The sequence below is a fragment of the Homo sapiens genome, chromosome 5, assembly GCF_000001405.40.
Source record: "Homo sapiens chromosome 5, GRCh38.p14 Primary Assembly".
In the NCBI taxonomy this organism is placed as follows: domain Eukaryota; kingdom Metazoa; phylum Chordata; class Mammalia; order Primates; family Hominidae; genus Homo; species Homo sapiens.
The window spans coordinates 66,186,971-66,209,911 of record NC_000005.10 but is presented as its reverse complement, the minus strand read 5'-3'; the positions used below and the strand labels follow the sequence as shown (position 1 = coordinate 66,209,911).

The 22,941-nt window shown below is 40.3% G+C and overlaps 2 long non-coding RNA genes across 2 annotated transcripts, besides 3 other annotated features; one reads left to right on the top strand and one right to left on the bottom strand.

The window, feature by feature from the left end:
- Positions 57 to 1,256: an enhancer, noted in NCBI's record as "CDK7 strongly-dependent group 2 enhancer chr5:65504484-65505683 (GRCh37/hg19 assembly coordinates)". NCBI's record gives its function as "activates an origin of replication core promoter dependent on BRD2, BRD4, P300/CBP, MED14 and CDK7 cofactors, with strong dependence on CDK7, by STARR-seq in HCT116 cells {active_cell/tissue: HCT116}" and the evidence as "EXISTENCE:reporter gene assay evidence [ECO:0000049][PMID:35650434]".
- Positions 57 to 1,514: a biological region, named in NCBI's record as "CDK7 strongly-dependent group 2 enhancer GRCh37_chr5:65504484-65505683".
- LINC02065 (long intergenic non-protein coding RNA 2065) lies at positions 466 to 4,789 on the top strand. Its single transcript, NR_146488.1, has 2 exons — positions 466 to 584; positions 3,259 to 4,789. It is a non-coding gene; the product is annotated as a long intergenic non-protein coding RNA 2065 (long non-coding RNA).
- LOC401191 (uncharacterized) lies at positions 574 to 22,667 on the bottom strand. The gene is made up of 5 exons (XR_007058794.1): positions 18,675 to 22,667; positions 6,882 to 7,087; positions 5,586 to 5,640; positions 1,289 to 1,485; positions 574 to 1,121 (listed from the first exon to the last, which is right to left on the bottom strand). It is a non-coding gene; the product is annotated as an uncharacterized LOC401191 (long non-coding RNA).
- Positions 1,014 to 1,514: an enhancer, noted in NCBI's record as "H3K4me1 hESC enhancer chr5:65504226-65504726 (GRCh37/hg19 assembly coordinates)". NCBI's record gives its function as "activates a minimal SCP1, AML or CMV promoter by ChIP-STARR-seq in primed H9 embryonic stem cells {active_cell/tissue: H9 hESC(primed)}" and the evidence as "EXISTENCE:reporter gene assay evidence [ECO:0000049][PMID:30033119]".
- Positions 22,668 to 22,941: the final 274 nt, after the last annotated feature.

The window sequence follows — 22,941 nt, the reverse complement described above, 5'->3', positions numbered from 1 at the left end:
CAGAGTCTGCCATCAACAGAAGAGACAGGAACACAGGTTGAAGCAACTGATGGGGCCTGAATTAGGACTCTTTCAACGTAAGTAACTGACGCCCAATTCAAATTAGGTGAATTCCAAAATAAAAAGGGAATTCATTGTCTCTTATAACCAGGCCATCTAGGGATGCTGCAGGCCTCAGGCATTTTGGATCCTAGTGCAAAAAATGTCCTCAATTTCTCTCTCTCTCCTTTCCTCAGCTGTGCTCACCAACAGGTGTCAGCCTCACTCTCCCCAGCTGCAGGCCAACTTCCTCCAGGTAGCCCAGTAGGTCTGGGGTGGCTGGAAGGCCTTAGTCATCGCCCCTGGCATGTCACACCCCAGCTGGGATTTTGCCCTGAGGGCACTGGGAAGCCACTGAAAAATTTTCTTCAGGGGAGTGGCATGAGAAGCCTGCAGTTTTGAAAGACCATTGTGTACAATGGTTAGACATAGGGAGGGAGAAAGGAGGCTCCAGGAAGAATCGGAATGAGAACTGATGAGGACCTGAACTGCAGCAGGAGGAGAGAGAGTGGCGAGGACGTCTCACGTGTGAGGACGTCTCACGTGTGAGTAACATTCACAAACAGCAGGACTTGGTGGCAGTGGGGGCATGACTTGGGGCTACTGGCTGCAGTTTTCTGGCCTGAGCTGCTGCCTGATGGCAAAATTGTTCACTGAGAGATGGACTGTGGGAGAAGGAGCACTTTCTTCAGGTCAAGTCTAGTGAGAAAGCACTACCGTCCTTATCACTAGAAACCAGTGTTGTGTTTCCCCTGCCTATTGGATTAACTGCACCCACTGGTGTCACACCCACTGACACTAGGGAGGCCAGTTCGGAGGCAACATGGCCCAGGGTCAGCCCCAGCCTTCAGCCACCCCCAAGCCTCTGGAAAATACCTACCTTCCCCTCACCAGTGCACTCCTTGCTGCCTTAGTGAAGGGAGGAGCCTCCTGGAGGAACACCGTGGAGGCAGTGGGTTCCTTGGCCTCACCAAATAAATCCATTCGGACCTTCCCGGCTAGCCGAGCTCTCTTCCTTGGTGCTCTGCTCAGCACGCTCTGCCTTCCTCCTCGTTAACTGTGGGCCCAAGTTGTGTCCGCGGCTATGAAAGCAACCGGGCGCCAGTGAGGATGGGCCCAGGTGTCTTTGCTGGGAGGGCTTCCATGTGAGTAAATTCTCACCTTCCCACCCTTCTATTCTCCCCAACACCAGTTCCAAGCCCTCAAGATCCACTTCCACACTCGGCCCCCTGGGGCCTGCTGAACCTACTATTTAGGGCCTTGCCATTTTTTCCTCTGTGTTCAGTATTTCCTCTGCACTGGCCTGTGCTTCAATCTGACTGTGGTTTTGGTCTGGAGACACATCTTGGTGGGGGCAGATCTTGAAGAGGACAGATGCTGTGTGGCGAGGTCTTGTCTTTGTAAGTGTGGGGTAGGCTTCCTCGAGTGACTGTGGTCCAGGAGGATCTGAGCCAGAACAAAGAGGCCTCTGTTACGAAAGACTTTCACTCTTTAATTCCAGATTTCAGTTCCATCTTAAGATTGCTAAAGAACGCTCTGGAACATAAGCCAGGATTTGCCAGCATCTCCACCTGCCTCTGACTCACCATTTTACCTCCACATTCTTGCCCTCCCAACCTTGATGTCCCTCCTCCCCACCTGCCTCACCCTCCTCCCCCAGCTGAGCGAGGATCAACAGACCTGGTTCCCCGCCACTGCTCCATTGAGCTTGATCTGGAAAATGAGGACTCACAGTCCTGCTTAGGACACATAGTGGGGGAGGTTGGGCTCGGTGGAGCCAGACAGCATACTCAGTCATTTTAACAACTTGTTATTTTTGAGGCCCCAAGCTCCAGAAATGAATTTGGAAAGAAAATGAAAAAAATAACAAGACAGATAGCAGGAATTCAAACTCCACTAACAAAGGCCATCAGCTGAAACCAATTTGGACAGCTCAGCTCAGTCTCGGCTCATGAACTTCGCTTTACCTCAGAAAAGCCCTTCAGCACAGCACACGTGCACACACATGCTCACTCACTCTTACAAAAGGCAGGACTGGGTTTCAGAGCTATGCAGCAAGACAGAAGCAAAAGAAGCTTGCTTCCTTTTATTTAAGTGATAATCTCTGTGGTTTTGACTTCAGTAACTGTGATATTGTGATTTATAAGAAGAAATAACATATTTTGGTCTTCTTCCAGTTTCAGGGCACAGAACTCCTAAAACCTTTGGAATTTCCCAAGTTATAAGTACCCTTTTGTATGCTAGCGAGATGATCCCTGGCTGGGGACTAATGGAGAGCCTCAAGATGCCAGGAGAAACAACCATGTGATTAGAGGGTTAGAACTTTCAGCACCCCCACACCACCCTCCTTCAGGAAGGGGAGAGAGACTGTAGGTTGAGTTGATCTCCAATGGCCAGTGATTTAATCACTCATGCCTACATAATGAAGCCTTCATAGCAACCATAAGAATAGAATTCAGAGAGCTTCCAGGTTGCTAGTACACCCAGAGAGGGCATGGAAGCTCCAAGACACCTTACTCATATCTTGTCTTATGCATCTCTTCCTTTATACATATTTTACACATTTTTTAACTTTTTATTATTTTTTAAATAGAAACAGGGTCTTGCTATGTTGCCCAGACTGGTCTTAAACTTCTGGCCTCAAATGATCCTCCTGCCTCAGCCTCCCAAAGTGCTGGGGTTACAGATGTGTGCCACCACGCCATCTCTTCCACCCGGCCATTCATCTGTATCTTTTGTGATGTATTCTATAATAAGCCAGGAAACATAAATGAAACACTTTCCTGAGTTCTGTGAGCTGCTCTAACAAATGATTGAATCTGAGGAGGGGGTCATGGGAACTCCCAATTTGTACCCAGTCATTAGAAGCACGAGTCACAATCTGGGATTTTCAACTGGCATCGGAAATAGGAGGTTGTCTTGTGGGACTGAGCCCTAACCTGTGGGATCTGACTCTAGGTTAGAGTATCAGAATTGAACTGAATTCAGGACACCCAGTTGGTGTCTGCTGGAGAATTGGTTGTTGCGGAAATCCCCTGACACATTTTTGTGACCTAATGTGAAGTTTGCTGTGTTGAGTGTTGAGAGTATAGTAGAAGAAAACAGCCAGTTAGTTTGCTTTCCTACTACTATCCAGGTATCTTAAAACATAGTATGTCAAATACGGAACTGTTTATTTTCAGCCACACCCTCCCCAACAAAATCCTTTTCCTCCTCCAGGCTGTCATGTCATTTATTGGCACCACCTTCAACACAACTACTCAAGCCCAGTTGCTGAGCATCATCTGGAATCCTTTCACCTTCCCATGCACAATCCTTGAGATCCGGAGATGCTACCTCCAAAAGGCAACCAAAAAATCTAACGACGACTCACTATCTTCCCATCTACTGTCCAGTTGTGTATATATGCGTCTATGGACCAGGTAGTGTGTCAAAGGTATTTCTTAGCTGTAGGGTTGCAGCAAAAAAGTTTGGAAGCTATTCATTGCCCATTAGGCAATTAAAGAGTAAAGATGTGGCCCCTGCCTACATCTTTAATCTCATCTTCTGTCATCTCCCCCTCTTTGCTCCTTTAGTCCCTGGAAAGTGGTAAGCTCTTTCCTGCCTTGGGGCCTTAGTATTTGCTGTTAACTCTACCTGGAACATTCTCCTTATCTTTCCCATGGCTGATTCACTGCCATCCTTCAAGTCTCAGTTTAATGTCATATCCTCAGAGAGGCCCCCCATCCATATTATGTAAACCATGTCTTCTTCCCATCACTACACGCTATGGTCTGAAAGTTTGCATCTCCCCAAAATTCATATATTGAAACCTAATCCCCAATGCAATAGGATTAAGAGGCGGGACCTTTAGGAAATAATTAGGTCTTGAGGGTAAAGCCCTCATGAATGGGATTAGTGCTTTTATATAATAAAAGAGGCCTGAAGAAGCTTATTAGCCCCTTCTGCCATGTGAAGACTCATAGAAAGTGCCATCTATGAGGAAGCAGGCCCTCACCAGACATCAATGCTGCTGCCTTGATCTTGGGCTTCCCAGCCTCCAGAACTGTGAACAATGAATTTCTGTTGTTTATAAGTTACCTATCTAAGGTATTTTGTTATAACAGTCCAAATGGACTAAGCCCTAAAGGACTTTTTCTAATGAATAGCTACAGGTTGATTTACGATCAGTTTTTTTATGAGACTGTAAGCCTTCTGAGGTCAGTAATGGTGTGTGTATGTGACTGTACCCTGCATCTGCATCCTACTTTTACCTAACAAAAAGAGCCTCACAGAAAGCTTTGGCAATTAATGACAGCCTGTAGAGTTCTGTATTCATAGAAGCAGTAGGGGTACATGCTGCAGTGGGTAGAATTGTGTTCCCCAAAAAGAGATGCTCAAGCCCTAACCCTGGTATCTACGAATGTGATCTTATTTGGAAATAGGGTCTTTGCAGATATAATTAGTTAAGATCAGGTCATACTAGAGTAGGATGGGCCCTTAATCCAATATGACTGGTGTCATTATAAGAAGAGGAAGAGATACACAAGGGCACACACCAGGAGAATGTCATGTGACAATGGAAGCAGAGATTGGAGAGCTGTGTCTATAAGCCAAGTAACATCAAGGATTGCTGGCAACACCAAAAGCTAAGAGAAAGGCGTGGAACGGACTCCCACCTTGAGCCTTCAGAGACAGCGTGGACCTACTGACACCTTGACTTCAGACTTCTAGCCAGAACTTTGAGAGAATAAATTTCTGTTTTTTAAGACCCCGTGTTTGTGGTACTTTGTTATGGCTGCCCTAGTGTATGCCATTTGGGTAAAATTAGATAACAAAATATTTCTAAAATGAAATCTAGCTCTAAGGTTGGTGGATTTTATGCAGAGTAATTAGTAAGGGTATGAAGGTAAGCACAATAAAGTATTTGGGGGACCTGGAAATGATTTCTAAAGCACGTCTTATTCCTCGAAGGTAAAACTCTCTAACCCAAACTCTAATATTTCATCTGAACCAATGTTACCTCAACCCTTGGAGCAAAAACACGACCTATTTGATTCATTAAGCAATTAAATTCCTCATTAAACTTTTGCCACCTGACCTGGAAGAACAGGAAATCATATTAGAGTGATGTTAGAAGATGTTCTCATTGTTTATTTTAATAGCTATAATAGTTTTAAAAGTCATGTTCTGATTATAAAGTTACATCAGCCTTTTAGGACATCTTTGAACACAAATTGTATTAACTTGGTTGGTTTATCAAGAGTAATGGAATTATTACTGCTAGAAGCCACAATTCCCATGAAAATTAAAATTGCAGTTTTTCAAATACTATAAATGATGTTTGGAAGTCCTGTAATCCTTGAATCAGAGAACTTACATTTTTATCTGTATTTTCAAGATAAATTGTAGTGTAAGAAAAACATTAGAAGAAAATATATTCATATATTAATTTATAAAAGTGGTAAATATTGGAAAAGAAATTGCTGATGGTTGAGTGCTGGGTCATGAAAAGAACATGGGCTAGAATCACAACATCCAGGTCCTTCCCAGACTCTGCTGCTTACCTAATGGTGGGACCTGGGGCTCCTCACTTCCTCTTTGGGCTTTGGGATTCCAAAGCTGTAAAGTAAAGGTACAAAGGAAAGAACTGCATTATTTACAAGATCCTTTCAAGCTCTAAAATCCTGTTGCTTGTGGACAGTTTGTTCTTATTCCTCTGCAGCATATTTATATGGGCTCAGGATTTCATAGTCAGGTTTTCATCCTTTTGTTAAATCAACAAATCTCTCACTGACCTGTCATTCCTCTGCCTGCCAAACAGGCCAGCCAGAGGCTAGGACTGAAGGAAGGAGACTTGAAGCAGCATCCTGCAACTGGTACTTCACCAACAATTTTGTAGTCTATTTATTGCACAACCTTGCCCAGTCCAGGAGACAAAGGAGCCTGAACTCCAAACTGAGCTCCCCTTGCCAAGCCATGCACCCATGAGGTTGCATCGCCCAGTGGCAGCACTTTTTCCTAATTGCACAAAGGCACCAAAGAGGTTAGCAGCAGTCTTGCTCCCACCTCCCTGGGTTTCACAGTTTCTTTGAGAGGCTGCCAGATTCCTTTCTTGCTTCAGAGAAGACGGCTAAAGAACATATTTTTTATCGTTGCTATTAATTTATTACTGTTTATTATTAATCTTGACAATGACAAAAAGCTTACATGCTCATGAACCTAGAGAACTCTCAAAAGAAACACACTAGCTATATAATTTCAAAATTCAGAAGTTGTCCTTACACCACCAGCTATACACATGACAACAATCTAAGTCGTTAGCTGTAGTTTAAATTGTTTAGCTTAAATTGTTAGTTTCATGATTTGTTCTATAATCATATTATCCTGATTATAGTATATCTCAGTTTAACCTCTATCCAAGTTTCTTTTTTTTTTTTAATTTTTTTACTTTTAACTTTTGTGGGTACCTAGGACATGTATATATTTGTGGGGAGCATGAAATGTTTTGATACAGGCATGCAATGTGAAATAAGCACATCATGGAAAATGGGGTATCCAGCTTCTCAAGGCATTTATCCTTTGTGTTACCAACAATCTCATTACACTCTTTTAGTTATTTCAAAATGTACAATTAAGTTATTATTGAATATAGTCACCCTGTCAAGTTTCTGATATCAGCTTGCTCTCACACCATGCAATTCACAGAAACTTGAAGCTAGGACAAAAAATATATAGGCATGCAACACAGACTCAGCTCAAGGAGTAAAGTGAGATCTCTTCCATGCAGGTGAGCAATCTCTTGGATGGATGGCCCATACCTCTATCCCCTCCTGAGCCACCTGGACTCCAAGCTGCCTTACCTTGGAGACACAGTAGATCCATCATGTCTTGATATCAACATTCTGGCTGGGTGGTTTCCCTGAATCTTTAAAGAGTTTTTAAATGATCCGTCAAGAGATTGGTCCTTGTAAACACTGCCTTCATCATTGGTTGTCATTGGCCTCGTTGCACTTGGGGGAAGGCTAATTGGGCTGGATTGAGGCTAGTTCCTGTCCTTCCTTTTTTCCTAAATAAGACCCAAATAGGGATTTACTGTGAAGCTAATAATGTTTAAGTTTCAGAAACCCCTCATTTGTACCAACCCCTTCCAAAATTCTGGGAGGGACCTTAGCAATGTGTTTACATGGTCAATTTTTTTGTAGTAACTAAAATATATTATCAGCAAAAACTATACAGCCAAAAAAGACAGGCAAAAAATTATGACACTGGACTTCTACTTTGGGCCAAAATTTAATAACAGGAACTGTGTTTACCATCCCACCTGAAACAACAAAAAACTAGATATGTATATGTGTATGTGCACGTGTGTGGGGGGTGGTGGGCGGGGGGAGTTCAGACATTGGACATCAGGCAGTGCAGGTTAGTGATCCCTTATTAACAAAGGATGTAAGCCCTATGAGTGCCCCAGCTTACTGCCTTGAAAAAGTGTACAGGCTCAAGTAGAGGGAAGCCAAACCCAGTGGTCTGAGTTGAGTTGATGAAGCTGGGAGTCCACTGAGGCCAAGATGGCAGGACAGAGTGTGGAGAAAAGAGGTGCACAGAGAAAAAGCTTTGAAGATCTGTAGGTAGGTCTATTTGTGTCTTCAGCTAAGTAATGATCAACATATGTATAGGGAGAAACCAACCAAGGGCCAGGAAAAAACATCTGAATGATTAAAAAAAAAAATCCCTAGAGCTCAAACAAGGAGAAAATCGTTTGTGTTTCTAAGAGCCTGGTGGAAAGCAGTGGAGGGAGTAACATTCCCAGGGCATCAAGTACTCAGAAGGATATTGCTTCAGGAATGCTCAAAATTATCTCTGGAGAAAAGGCTGATCTCCAACAAAGCTTAAAAATCAAGCTTTGAAAGAAATTGTTCCCAAGTAACTGAAGTGCGTCTAAGAACAAAGATCAAGAATATCTACAGAATACCAAAATAATCAGCACCCAACAAGGTAAAATTCTAAATTATTTTTACATGCTGAAATTACTTTACATTTAAGCTTGGAAAACAGAAACATGGAAGATGTTAAAACGACTTAAATTGAACCCAGAGAATTACAAAATACAATATCTGAGGGTTTTTTTAAGATACACTAGATGAGATTAACAGCAGATTAGAAACTACGTAATACTAGTAAACTCAGAAATACAGAAACAGAATTATCCAAAATGAAACAATGAAAAAATTGAACAAAGCATCAGCAAGTTGTGGGACAACCTCAAGTGACTAAAATACATATAATTGGAGACCATGAAGTGGGGAGGGAGGAGAAAGAAAACATATTTGAAGAAATAATGATTAGAAAATTTCCAAATTTAACAAAAACTCTAAACACAGACTAAAGAAGCTCAAAGAACAACAAGCACAATAAACATGAATAAACCTACACCAAACACATCACAGTCAAATTGATTTAAACCAATGAGAAAAGAGATCTTAAAAGTGGCTACAGAAAAAAAGCCACATTCTATGTAGAGGAACAAGAATGATGGCAGACACCTTGTTGGAAACAAAGTAAACCAGAGTTCAGTGGTAGCACATCTTTAAAGAACTAAGAGAAGAAAAAAAAATTAATGTATAATTCTATAGCCAGCAAAAATATCTTTAAAAAATAAGTTGACACAAAAACTTGTTCAGCATGCAAAAGGTTGTTAACATTAGCCTAAAGCTGCCTCTTTACACATGTTAAGTTTGGCCTAACAGTTTCTCTGTACACAGTGAACTCTAACCTAACGGGATGTATAACCTACTCATGAGCCAATCACTGAGTTCCAGCCAATCAAAGGCAGCCAACTGTTCAAACTGTGTTCAAATAAGCTAAATGCAGGGCTGTAACCAATCTGGCTGTTTTTGTACCTCATTTCTGTTTTCTGCACATCACTTTCCCTCTTCTGTCCATAAATTTTCTCCTACCGTATGGCTGTGCTAGAGTCTCTCTGAACCTATTCTGTTTCAGGTGCTGCCCAATTCTTGAATCATTCTTTGCTCAATTAAACTCTATTAAATGTAATTTGTCTAAGGTTTTTTCTTTTAACAAGGTGAAAGAATCCATCCTCAGCAGACCTGCACTGTAAGAAATGCTAAAGGATGTCTTCAGGCAGGAGAGAAATAGCGTGAAGTAGAAATCTGAATTGACACAAAGAAGTGAAAAGTACCATGAATTGTAAATCTATGGGTAAATATGAGGAATTTTTTATTTTTTTAATCAAACTGACTGTTTAAAGCAAAAATAACACCATATTGTGGGGATTTCAACACATACATTAAGTAAAATGCAGGAGAAAATTAGCACAAATTTGGGAGTTTAAAAATCAATAAATATTATTGTAACGTTCTTATACTATATATGAAATGGTATAATATTACATAAAAGTAGACTGTGATAACTTTAAAAATACACTCACTTCACAGACACACACACAAAACCCTAAAACTATTTAAAAATTAAAACAAAAAATGTTAGCTAATAAGCCAACAGAGAAGATAAAATGGAGTTTTAAAAATATTCAATTAGTTCAAAAGAAGACAAAGAGGAAAAAGGAAACAAAAATAGAAGAGATAAATAGAGGACAATAGCAAGGTGGCACATTTAAATCCAGTGATCTCAATAATCACATTCAACACAACTGGCTTAAACACTCCAACTAAAAGGCAGAGGTTGTCAGGCTGGATAAAAAGCCAACATCAAACTATACACTGCGCACAAGAAGTGCACTGTAAATATGAAAACACAAAGAAGTTTGAAGTAAAAGGATAGGAAAAGATTATACAATGCTGATACAAAAAAAAAACAAGAAACAAATTGTAATTGCAATGCTAGTATTAATTTCAGAAAGATTTTAAAACAAAAATATCAGAAATAAAAAGGGTAATTTAATAATGATTAAAGGGTCAGTTTAATATGAAGACATAACAATCTGAAACATTTATGAACCTAATAACAGAGATTCAAAATACATAAAACAAAAACAGAACTAAGTTGGGGATGGTAGCTCATGCCTGTAATCCCACCTATGCAGGAGGCTGATGTCAGAGAATTGCTTGAGGCCAGGAGTTCAAGACCAGCCTGGGCAACATAGTAAGATCTTATCTATTACAATTTTTTTTTTTACTAGCTGGGCATGGTGGCATGCACCTGTGGTCCTACCTACTCAGGATGATGAGGCAAGAAGATCACTTGAGGCTAGGAGTTTAAGGCTGCAGTAAACTATGATCACACCACTGCACTACGGCCCAGGTGACAGAGCAGGACCCCATATCAAAAACAAAAAACAAAAAGGGAGGGAAGCAGAGCAATATGGCTGAATAAAATCCTCCACTGATCATCCTCCCCACAGGAACATCAAATTTAACAATTATTTACACAAAAAACATCTTCATAAGAAACAAAAATCAAGTGAGTGATCACAGTACCTAGTTTTAACTTAATATCACTGAAAGAGACACTGAAGAGGGTAGAAAAGACAGTCCTGAATTGCCATGCTACCCCTCTCCCATCCCCCAGCAGCAGACATGTACTGTGCAGAGGAAATCTGTATGCTTGGAGGAGGGAGAGTACAGCAATTGTGGGACTTTGCATTGGAACTCAGTGCTGCCAACGCCAGACAGAACTCAGTGGACACCCACAGAGGGAGCATTTAGACAAGCCCTAGCCAGAGGGGAATCACCCATCCCAGTGGTCAAAACCTGAGTGTCAGCAAACCTGACCACCATGGGCTAAAGTGCTCTAAATAAACTTGAAAGGCAGTCTAGGCCACAAGGACTGTATGTCCTAGTGCTGTGTTGGGCTCAGAGCTAGTAGACTTGAGGGGCATGTGACCTAGAGAGACACCAGCTGAGGCAGCTAATGGAGTGCTTCCACCACCCCTCCCCCAACCCCAGGCAGTGCAGCTCACAGCTCTAAAAGACGCCCCTTCCCTCTGCTTGGGAATAGGGGAAAGTAAAGAGGACTATGTCTTGCAACTTGGATACCAGCTCAGCCACAGTAGGATAGGCACCAGGCAGAGTTGTGAGGGCCCCATCCCAGGCCCTATCTCCTAAATGACATTTCCAGATACACCCTAGACCAGAAGGGAACCCACTGTCTTGAAGGGAAAGACACAGTCCTGGCAGGATTCATCACCTGCTAACTAAAGAGCTCTTGGGCCCTGAATACTCAGCAGTGTTGTAAGCTTTGGGTGAGACTCTGAGATGTGCTGGCTTCAGGTGTGACCCAGCACATTCACAGCTGTGGTGGCTACAAGGAGAGGCTCCTTCTGCTTGAGAAAAGCAGAGAGAAGAGTAAAGGGGACTTTGTCTTGCAGCTTAGATACCAGTTTGGCCACAGTAGAGCACCAAACAGCCTCTTGGGATCCCTGATTCCAAGCCTTGGCTCTTAGACAGCATTTCTAGACCTACCCTGGGCCAGAGGGGAGCCACTGCCCTGAAGGGAGAGATTCAGGACTCGTAGCCTTCACCACAAACTGCCTAAAAGTGTCCTTGATCCTTAAGTGGACGTTGGCAGTAGCCTGGCACTGCTCCTTGTGGGCCTGTGATGATGGTTGACATGGGGAAAGACTCCTCTGCCTGGGGAAAGGAGAGGGAAGAGTGGGAAGGACTTTGTCGTGTGGTTTCAGTGCCAGCTCAGCCACAGTAGAATAGAGCACCACATAGATTTCTAAGGTTTCTGACTCCTGGTCCTGGCTCCCTGACACTATCTGTGGACCCACCCAGGGCCTGAGGGAAGTTGCTGCCCTAAAGGCAAGGGCACAAACCTGGCTGGCTTTACCACCTACTGATCGTAGGTGGTAAGAACCCTAGGGCCTTGAGCAAATGCAAACAGTAGCCAGGTAGTAGTTACAGCAGGACTTGAGCAAGACCCCATGCTGTGCTGGCTTCAGGTCTGACTCAGCACAGTCCCAGTAGTGGTGGCCACAGGGGTGCTTGTGTCACCCCTCCCCTAGCTCTAGGCAGCTCAGCACAGAGAGAAAAAGATTCCATTTCTTTGGAAGAAAGTAAGGGAAGAGAACAAGAGTCACTGCTTGGTAATCCAGAGAATTCTTCCATATCTTATCCAAAACCACCAAGGCAGAACCCCTACAAGTCTCCAAGAACCACAGCATTACTGGGCTTGAGGTGTGCCCTACCATAGATATGGCTTAGATACCGACACCAAAGTCCCTTCAAATACCTGGAAGGCCTTCTCAAGAAGAACAGGTGCAAACAAGCTCAGACTGCAAAGATACAATAAACACCTAACTCTTCAATGGCCAAACACTGATGAACATTCATAAGTATCAGGACCATCTGGGAAAACATGACCTCGTCAAATGAACTAAATAAAGCACAAGGAACCAATCCTGGGGAAACAGAGATATGTGTTTATTCAGACAGAGAATTCAAAATAGCTGTTCTGAGGAAACTCAAAGCAATCTGAGATAACACAGAGAAGGAATTTAGAATCCTATCAGATACATTTAACAAAGAGATTGAAACAATTAAAAAAGAATCAAGCAGAAATTCTGGAGTTGAAAAATGTGAGTAACAGGCAGGGCATGGGGGCTCACGCCTGTAATCCCAGCACATTGGGAGGCCGAGGCGGGCAGATCACAAGGTCAGGATATCGAGACCATCATGGCTAACACAGTGAAACTCCGTCTCTACTAAAGATATAAAAAATTAGCTGCGTGCGGTGGCAGGCGCCTGTAGTCCCAGCTACTCAGGAGGCTGAGGCAGGAGAATGGCGTGAACCAGGGAGGCAGAGCTTGCAGTGAGCCGAGATTGCGCCACTGCACTCCAGCCTGGGTGACAGAGGGAGACTCCGTCTCAAAAAAAAAAAAGAAAAATGCAAGTAACATACCGAAGAATGCATCAGAATTGTTAATGGCAAAATTAAGCAGAACAAACAGTTAGCTTGAAGACATGCTGTTTGAAAATACACAGAGGAGACAAAAGAAAAAAGAATAAAAAAAGAATGAAGCACACCTATGAGATCTAGGAAATAGCCTTGAAAGGGCAAATCTAAGAGTTATTGACCATAAAGTGGAGGTAGAGTGAGATAGGAGTAGAAAGTTCATCCAAAGGGATAATAAAAGAGAACTTCCCAAACCTAAAGAAGGATATCAACATTCAAGTACAAGAAGGTTTTAGAACACCAAGCAGATTTAACCTAAAGAAGACCTACCTCGGCCAGGTGCACTGGCTCACACCTGTAATCCCAGCATTTTGGGAGGCCGAGGCAGGCACATCACGAGGTCAGGCGATCGAGACCATCCTGGCTAACACGGTGAAACCCCATCTCTACTAAAAATACGAAAAATTACCGGGCGTTGTGGCAGGTGCCTGTAGTCCCAGTTACTTGGGAAGCTGAGGCAGGAGAATGGCGTGAACCCAGGAGGTGGAGCTTGCAGTGAGCTGAGATTGTGCCACTGCACTCCAGCCTGGGTGACAGAGCGAGACTCCGTCTCGGGAAAAAAAAAAAAAAGACCTACCTCAAGGTATTTAATAATCAAACTTCCAAAAGTCAAGGATAAAGAAAGGATCCTAAAATCATCCAGAGAAAAGAAAAAAAGTAACATACAATGGAGCTCCAATACATCTGTCCCAGACTTTTCAGTGGAAAACTTACAGGCCAGGAGAGAGCAACATAACATATTTAAAGTGCTGAAGGAAAAAAAAATTGTTATTCTAGAATAGTATGTTCAGTGGAAATACCCTTCAAACGTGAATGAGAAACAAAGACTTTCCAAGACAAACAAAAGCTGAGGGATTTAATCAACATCAGACCTGCCTTATAAGAAATGCTAAAGGGAGTTCAATCTGAAAGAAAAGAATGTTAATGAGCAATAAGAAATCATCTGAAGGTACAAAACTCAGTAAGTACACAGAAAAACAGAATATTATAACATTATAATTGTGGTGTGTAAACAGTTCATATTTTAAGGAGAAAAATGAAAAGATGAGCCAATCAAAAACAATAACTACAACAACTTTTCAAGACATAGGCAGTATAAGATATAAACAGAAACAACAAAAAGCTTAAAAAGGGGGAGATGAAGTTAAAGTGTAGTTTTTATTAGTTTTCTTTTTGCTTGTTTGTTTATGCAACCAGCATCAAGTTGTCATCAGTTTAAAACAATGAGTTATAAGATAGTATTTGCAAGTTTCATGGTAACATCAAATCTAAAAACATACAACGAATACACAAATAAAAAGCACCAGAGAAAATCACCTTCACTAAAATGAAGACAGGAAGGAGAAGACCGCAAAACAACCAGAAAGCAAAATCAAAAGATATAAAGTGGCTGAATGGATAAAAAACATGACCTTAATAATCTGTTGCCTACAAGAAACACACTTCACCAATAAAGACATATACTGAATAAAAAGGGATGGAAAAAGATATTCCACACAAATGGAAACCAAAAAAGAACAGGAATAGCTATACCTATATCAGACAAAATAGATTTCAAGACAAAAGCTATAATAAGAGACAGAGAAGGTCATTATATAGTGATAAAGGGGTCAATTCAGGAAGGGGATACAACGATTGTAAATATATATGCACCCAATTTGGGAGCACCCAGTTCAGCAAATATTATTAGAGCTAAAGAGAGATAGACCCAAAACAATAATAGCTGGATACTTCAATACCCCACTTTCAGCATTGGACACATCATTCAGTCAGAAAATCAATAAAGAAACATTGGAATTTATCTGTTCTATAGACCAAATGAACCTAATAGTTATTTACTTAACATTTCATCCAATAGCTGCAGAATACACATTCTTCTCCTTAGCACATGGATCATTCTCAAGGATAGAACATATGTTAGGCCACAAAACAAATCTTAAAACATTCAAAAAATTGAAATAATATCAAGTACCTTCTCTGACCACAGTGGAACAAAACTAGAAATCAATAACAAGAATAATTCTGGAAACTATACAAATACATGGAAATTAAACAATATGCTCCTGAATGACCAGTGAGTCAATGAAGATATTAAGAAGGAAATTGAAAAATTTATTGAAACAAATGAAACACAACATACCAAAACCTATGGGATACAGCAAAAGCAGTACTAAGAAGGAAGTTTATACCTATAAGTGCCTATATCAAGAAAGTAGAAAAACTTCAAATAAATGATCTAACAATCTTAAAGTACTAGAAAACCAAGAACAAATCAAACCCAAAGTTGGTAGAAGAAAAGAAATAATAAAGATCAGAGCAGATATGAGATTGAAACAAAATAATACAAAATATCAATGAAACAAAAAGTTGGTTTTTTGAAAAGATAAATAAAATGAACAAATCTTTAGCCAGGCTAAGAAAAAAAGAGAGAATAGCCAAGTAAATAAAATCAAAGATGAAAAAGGAGACATTATAACTGATACCACAGAAATTCAAAGGATCATTAGAGGCTACTATAAGCAACAATATGCCAATAAACTGAAAAACCTAGAAGAAATTGATAAATTCCTAGACACATATAATCTACCAAGATTGAACCATGAAGAAATCCAAACCCCAAACAGACCAATAACAAATAATGTGATTGAAGCCATAATAAAAAGTCTCCCAGCAAAGAATAGCCTGGGACCCAGTGGTTTTGCTGCTGAATTTTGCCAAACATTTAAAGAACTAACACCAATCCTACTCAAACTATTCCAAAAAATAAAGGAGGAAGGAATACTTCCAAATTAATTCTATGAGACCAGTATCACCTTGATACCAAAACTAGACAAAGACACATAAAAAAAGAAACCACAGGCCAATGTCCCTGACAAACATTGATATAAAAATCCTCAATAAAATACTAGCAAACCAAATTCAGCAACACATTAAAAAGATCATTCATCATGACGAAGTGGGATTTATTCTAGGGATGCAAGAATGGTTTGACATATGCAAATCAATGTAATACATTATATCAACAGAATAAAGACAAAAACTATATGATCATTTCAATTGATGCTGAAGATGTATTTGATAACAAATTCAACATCCTTTTATGATAAAACAAAAAAAACTCAAAAAGCTACATATAGAAAGAACATACCTCAACATAATAAAAGCCATGTACAACAGACCCACAGCTAGTATCATACTGAATGGGGGAAAACTGAAAGCCTTTCCTTTACAATCTGGAACATGACAAGGATGCCCACTTTCACCACTGGTATTCAACATAGTACTGGAAGTTCTAGCTAGAACAATCAGACAAAGGAAAGAAAGAAAGGGCATCTAAATTCAAAAAGAGGAAGTCCAATTATCCTTCTTTGTAAATGATATGACCTTAAGTTTGAAAAAACTTAGACTCCACTGAAAAACTATTAAAGCTGATAGACAAATTCAGTAAAGTTGCAGAATACAAAATCAACATTAAAAAATCAGTAGCATTTCTATATGCCAATAGTGAACAATCTGAAAAAAATCAAGAATGTAACCCCATTATAATAGCTATAAATAAAATAAAATACATAGGAATTAACCAAAGAAATGAAAGATCTGTACAATGAAAGCTATATAACACTGATCAAAGAAATTGAAGACACACAAAAAGATGAAAAGATACCTCATGTTCATGGATTGGAAGAATCAATATTGTTAAAATGTCCATACTGCCCAAAGCAATCTACAGATTTAATGCAATCCCTATCAAAATACCAATGACAGTCTTCACAGAAATAAAAAAAAATCCTAAAGTTTATATGGAATCACAAAAGACACAGAATAGCCAAAGCTATCCTGAGCAAAAAGAACAAAGCTGGAAGAATCATATTACCTGACTTCAAATTAACACTACAGACCTACAGTAACCAAAATAGTATGGTACTGGCATAAAGACAGACTCACAGACCAATGGAACAGAATAGAGAACCCACAAGCAAATCTATACACCTACAGTGAATTCATTTTTGACAAAGGTGCCTAAAACATACACTCAGGAAAGGATAGGCCCTCATTAAATGGTGCTAGGAAAACTGGGTAAGAATAAAACTAGACCCCTACCTCTCACCACATACAAAAATCAAAACAAAAACTTAAATCTGAAATCTCAAACTATGAAACTACTAAAAGAAAACACTGGAGAACCTCTCCAGGACATTGGAGTGGGCAAAGATTTATTGAGTAATACCTCACAAGCACAGGCAACCAAAGCAAAGATGGACAAATGTAATTATCAAGTTAAAAAGCATCTGCCTGCAAACGAAACAATCAACAAAGTGAAGAGACTACCCACAGAATGGGAGAAGATATTTGCAAACTATCCATCTGACAAGGGATTTATAACCAGAATATACAAGGAGCTCAAACAACTCTACAGGAAAAAGAAATCTAATAATCCAATTTAAAAATGGGCAGAAGATCTGAACAGACATTTCTCAAAAGAAGACATACAAATGACAAACGGGTGTATGAAAAGGTGCTCAACATTTTGCTTTCTGTTCCCAGCAAAAAGGACTATTCGAATCATCTGGATTTGGTTGATTTACTATCCTAAATCTTTATTTGAAACAGACCCTGTATGCTTCATTTGACGCAGCTGCCCACAACTGCCTTTTAGTGTTCTCTTGACGCATCGTCATCTAGTTCTCCATGGTTCTCTCTAACAATTCCCAGGCTCCTATTCCTACCCATCCATTTAATGCAAATGTCTACAGGGTCTTTTCCTTGGACAGTTTCTCACATGCACCCTTGGTGAGCTCATCTACTTGCCTGATTTTAACTATCATTGTTTGAAGATTACTCCCAAATCTGTATCTCTAGCCCAGACCTCTCTTCTGAGCTCCAGGTCTGTATCTACCACTACCTTCTGGAGTCTCCACTTAGATGTAGCAAGGTACCCGAAGTTCAACACATCTAAACCCCATAGCCAGGTGTGGTGGGACACGCTTGTAGTCCCAGCTACTTGGGAGGCTGAAGCAAAAGGATCACTTGAGCCCCAGAGTTTGAAGGTGCCATGAGCTAGGATCATGCCACTGCCCTTCTGCCTGGGTGACAGAGAAAGATCCTGTCAATGAATGAATGAATGAATGAATGACCGACTCTACTTCTTGCCCTGGATTTCCCTACCTCACTGAGTGGCCCCACCATCCACCCAAATACCTTAACCATAAATCTCAAGAGTCACTTGAGTCCTCCCACTTCCTCACTTGGGGAAGGCAGAATTCTAAGAATGACCCCCCAATGACCCTTGCCTTTGTATATTCTCCTCTCTTCGAATTATGAATATGATTAGTTCCATTCCCATGATTATGTTATGTTACATGACAAAAAGGGAATTTTTTTAGATGTAATTAATATTACTAAATCAGTTGACTTTGGGATAATGAAAGAAGAGACTATCCAGTTGGGACCAATTGAATCACATGCCCCCATTAAAAGAGAATTTGCTCTGGCCAGTGGCAGAAAAGGAAGTCAGACAGATTCTAAGCAAGAGAAGAATCTGATGTAAGCTGTTGGCTCAAAAATGGAAGACGGGAATTTGAGAAGAATATGAGTAACCTTTAGAAGCTGAAAACAGTTCTCAGCTGACAACTAGGAAGGATATGGGAATCAAAATCTGTCCCAAATCTGAATGGGCATGGAACTGGATTCATCCCCAGAGCCTCCAGATAAGAGCCTACCTTGTCTGACATCTTGACTTCAGCCTTGTGGGACCTTAAGCAGAGAACCCAGGCAAGCCTTCTTTAACTCTGAGCTACAGAACTGTGATGTAATAAAAAAGAAAAAAAGAAAGAAAGGAAAGTACTCAACATCAATGATCATCAGAGAAATGCAAATCAAACCTACAATGAGATTTCATCTCACCCCAGTTAAAATGGCTTTTATCCAAAAGACAGGCAGTTACAAATTGCAAGGATGTGGAGAAACGGGAATCCTCATACACTGCTGGTGGAAGTTTAAATTAGTACAATCACTACGGAGAATAGTGTGGAGGTTCCTCAAAAAACTAAAAATAGTGGCTCACGCCTATAATCCCAGCACTTTGGGAGGCCAAGGCAGGCGGATCACCTGAGGTCAGGAGCTTCAGACTAGCCTGGCCAACATGGCAAAACTCTGTCTCTAGCAAAAATACAAAAACTAGCCAGGCGTGGTAGCATTTGCCTGTAGTCCCAGCTACTTGACAGGCTGAGGGAAGAGAATCAATTGAACCTGGGAGGAGGAGGTTGCAGTGAGCCGAGATCATGCCACTGCACTCGAGCCTGGGGGACAGAGCAAGACTCCATCAAAAAAAAAAAAAAAAAAAAAAAAAAACCTAAAAATAGAGCTATGATACGATCCAGCAATCCCACTGCTAGGTATGTACCCAAAAGAAAAGAAATCAGTACATCAAAGAGATATCTGCATTCCCATGTTTATTGCAGCATTATTCACAATAGCCAAGATTTGGAAACAACCTAAATGTTCATCAAGAGACTAATGGATAAAGAAAATGTGGTACATATACACAATGGAGTACTATTCAGCCATAAAAAAGAATGAGATCCTGTCACTTGTAACAACATAGAAGGAACTGGAGGTCATTATATTAAGGGAAATAAGTCAGGCATAGAAAGACAAGCTTCCGGTCTGGTGTGGTGGCTCACACCTGTAATCCCAGCACTTTGGGAGGCTGAGGCAGGTGGATCACCTGAGTTCAGGAGTTCAAGGCCAGCCTGACCAACATGGTGAAACTCCATCTCTACTAAAAACACAAAAATTAGCTGGGCATGGTGGCAATGCCTGTAATCCCAGCTACTCGGGAGGCTGAGGCAGGAGAATCGCTTCAACCTGGGAGGCAGAGGTTGCAGTGAGCCGAGATTGCACCACTGCACTCCAACCTGGGCAACAGAGTGAGACTCAGTCTCAGAAAAAAGAAAGACAAGCTTCATATGTTCTCACTTATTTGTGGGAGCTAAAAATAAAAGCAATTGAACTCATGGAGACAGAAAGTAGAAGGATGGTTACCAGAGGCTGGGAAGGGTAATCAGGTGGGTAGAGGGGAACTGCGGGGATGGTTAATGGGTACAAAAAAAATAGAAAGAATGAATAAGATCTAGTATTTGATAGCACAACAGTTACTATAGTCAATAATAATTTAATTGTACATTTTTAAATAAGTAAAAGAGTATATCTGGATTGTTTGTAACACAAAGGATAAATGCTTGAAGTGATGGATACCCCATTTACTCTGATGTGATTATTACACATTGTATGCCTATATCAAAACATTTCATATGCCCCACAAATATATACACCTACTATGAACCCCACAAATATTAAAAATTAAAAAGAAACAGAGCTAAAAGAAATAAAACAATCCACAATCCAGTTGGAAATTTCAAGACTTTGAATTGACAGAAAAAGCAGACTGCAAATTATTAAGTACATAGAAGACTTGAACACCACTATCAACGAACATGACCTAATTGGCACTACAGATTACTTCACTCAACAAAAGCAAGGCACATTCTTTTCAAGTGCATGCAAAACACCAAAGTGGATTACTTGTGGACCATAAAACATGTCTCAGACAATTTCAAAGGAATTAAATCATACAAATGATGTGTCCTAACCATGATGAAATTAAGTTAGAAATCAGTTACAGAAAGATCTTTGAAAATTCCCAAATATTTGGACACTAATTAACACACATTTCAATAACCCATGGATCAAAGACAAAATCTAAGGGAAAATTATGAAGTATTTTGAACTCAATGAAAATGAAAATACAACACAGCAAAATTTGTTAGAATACAGCTAAAGTAGTGCTTTGAAGGAAATGTATAGCACTAAATACATATATTAAAAAAGAAAGGTCTGAAGTCAGTGACTCCTGTTCACACCTTAAACTAGAAAAAGAGGGCAAACTAAATCCAAAAGAAGAAAAAGAAAATAAATAATGAAGAGCAGAAATCAGTGAACTAAAAAAGAAAAATTGATGACAGTGAAATCTGATTTGAGAAAATAAATTGATAAACCTCTAGCTTGACTGATCAGAATAAAAAGAAGGAAGACACAAGTTAACGATATTATGAGTGAGAGAGGACATCGGTATAGATCTTATATGTATTAAAAGGTCGTAAGGAAGTATGAATAACTTCATGGCAATAAAGTTGACAACTTAGATAAAATAGACAAATTTCATTAAAGATACACAACATCAATGCTCATTTAAGAATAAATAAACAAGGGCCAAGCATGGGGATGTGTGCATGTAGTCCCAACTACTCAGGAGGCTGAAGGAGGAGGATCTCTTGAGCTCAGGAGTTTGAGACCAGCCTGGGCCACATAGTGAGACCCCAACTCTAAAACAAAACAAAACAAAACAAATAAACCCTAAGAATAAATAGCTTGAATAACTCTAAATCTAGTTTTAACACTGAATTTGTAGTGTGAAAGACTATTCCAGGCTCAGGTTGGCTTTTTTGAGGTATTCTACCTTAACAATTTGACACAAATTCCTTCAGAAAAGTGAAGAGGAGGGAATTACTTTCCAACTCATTCTATTAGGCAAGCATGCCCCTTATACCAAAACCAGAATGAAATTACAAAAAAACTCAGACCAATTTAAATACATTTAATCAAGTGGCAACATACGTTGAAATGAATTTGAAAAAGGTCTGGGGTTGCAAGACCAATTAGTAGGCTACAGAAGCAGACTAAAAGGAAAATGACAATTCTAATACTACAGTTACTTTTCTGCTAGAGTGATTCTATTCCATGTAACTAAAATCATACAAGGGCATACTTAAGATATTTCAGAGGAAATGCACAATTGGGAGGACTTAGCAGATGTGACTGAGGGTGGGAACAAGATGGAAGTTGCAGGCATTCTCAGGGATATTAGGGGTTCAGTTCCAGGCCACCATAATAAGGTGAGTATCACAATAAAGCAAGTCACATAAATTCTTTGGTTTCCCAGTGCATTTAAAAGTTATGTTTTATAACTATGGCCTATTGAGTGTGCAATACCATTATATCTAAAAAAGTGTACATACCTTAATTTAAAATACTGCTTAAAAAATGCTAGCGATTGTCTAAGCCTTCAGTGGGTCATAATCTTTTTGCTGGTAGAGGGTCTTGCCTTGATGTTGATAACTGCTAATCAGGGTTGTGATTGGTGAAGGCTGAGGTAAACGTAGCAATTTCTTAAAATAATAAAGTTTGCCACATCGATTGACTCTTCCTTTCACAGATTTCTCTGTAGCATGGGATGCTGTCTGACAGCATTTTACCCATGTAGTACTTTTAAAATTGGAGTCAATCCTTTCAAACCCTGCCACTGCTTTATCAATTAAGTAATATTCTAAATCCTTTGTGGTCATTTCAACAGCATTCATAGCATCTTCACCAGGAGTAGATTACATCTCAAGGAGCCACTTTCTTTGCTCATCCATAAGAAGCAACTCCTCATCTCTTCAAGTTCTATCATGAGATTGCAGCAATTCAGTCACATCTTCAGGTTCCACTTTTAATTCTAGTTCTCTATTTCTACATCTGCAGTGAAGTCCTTCACTGAAGTCTTAAGCCCCTCAAAGCCATCCATGAGGGCTGGAAGCAACTACTTCCAAGCTCCTCTTGATGTTGCTTTTTATTTTTATTTATTTATTTATTTTTAAGACAGTTTCCCTCTGTTGCCCAGGCTGGAGTGTAATGGCGCAATCACAGCTCACTGCAACCTCCACCTCCCAAGCTCAAGCAATTCTTGTGCCTCAGCCTCCTGTGTAGCTGGGATTACAGACATGCACCCATCATGTCTGGCTAATTTTTGTATTTTAGTAGAGATGGGCTTTTGCCATGTTGGCCAGGCTGGTCTCAAACTCCTGACCTCAACTGATACACCCTCCTCAGCCTCCCAACATGCTAGGATTACAGGCGTGAGCCACCCCGCCTGGCCTCATGTTGTTA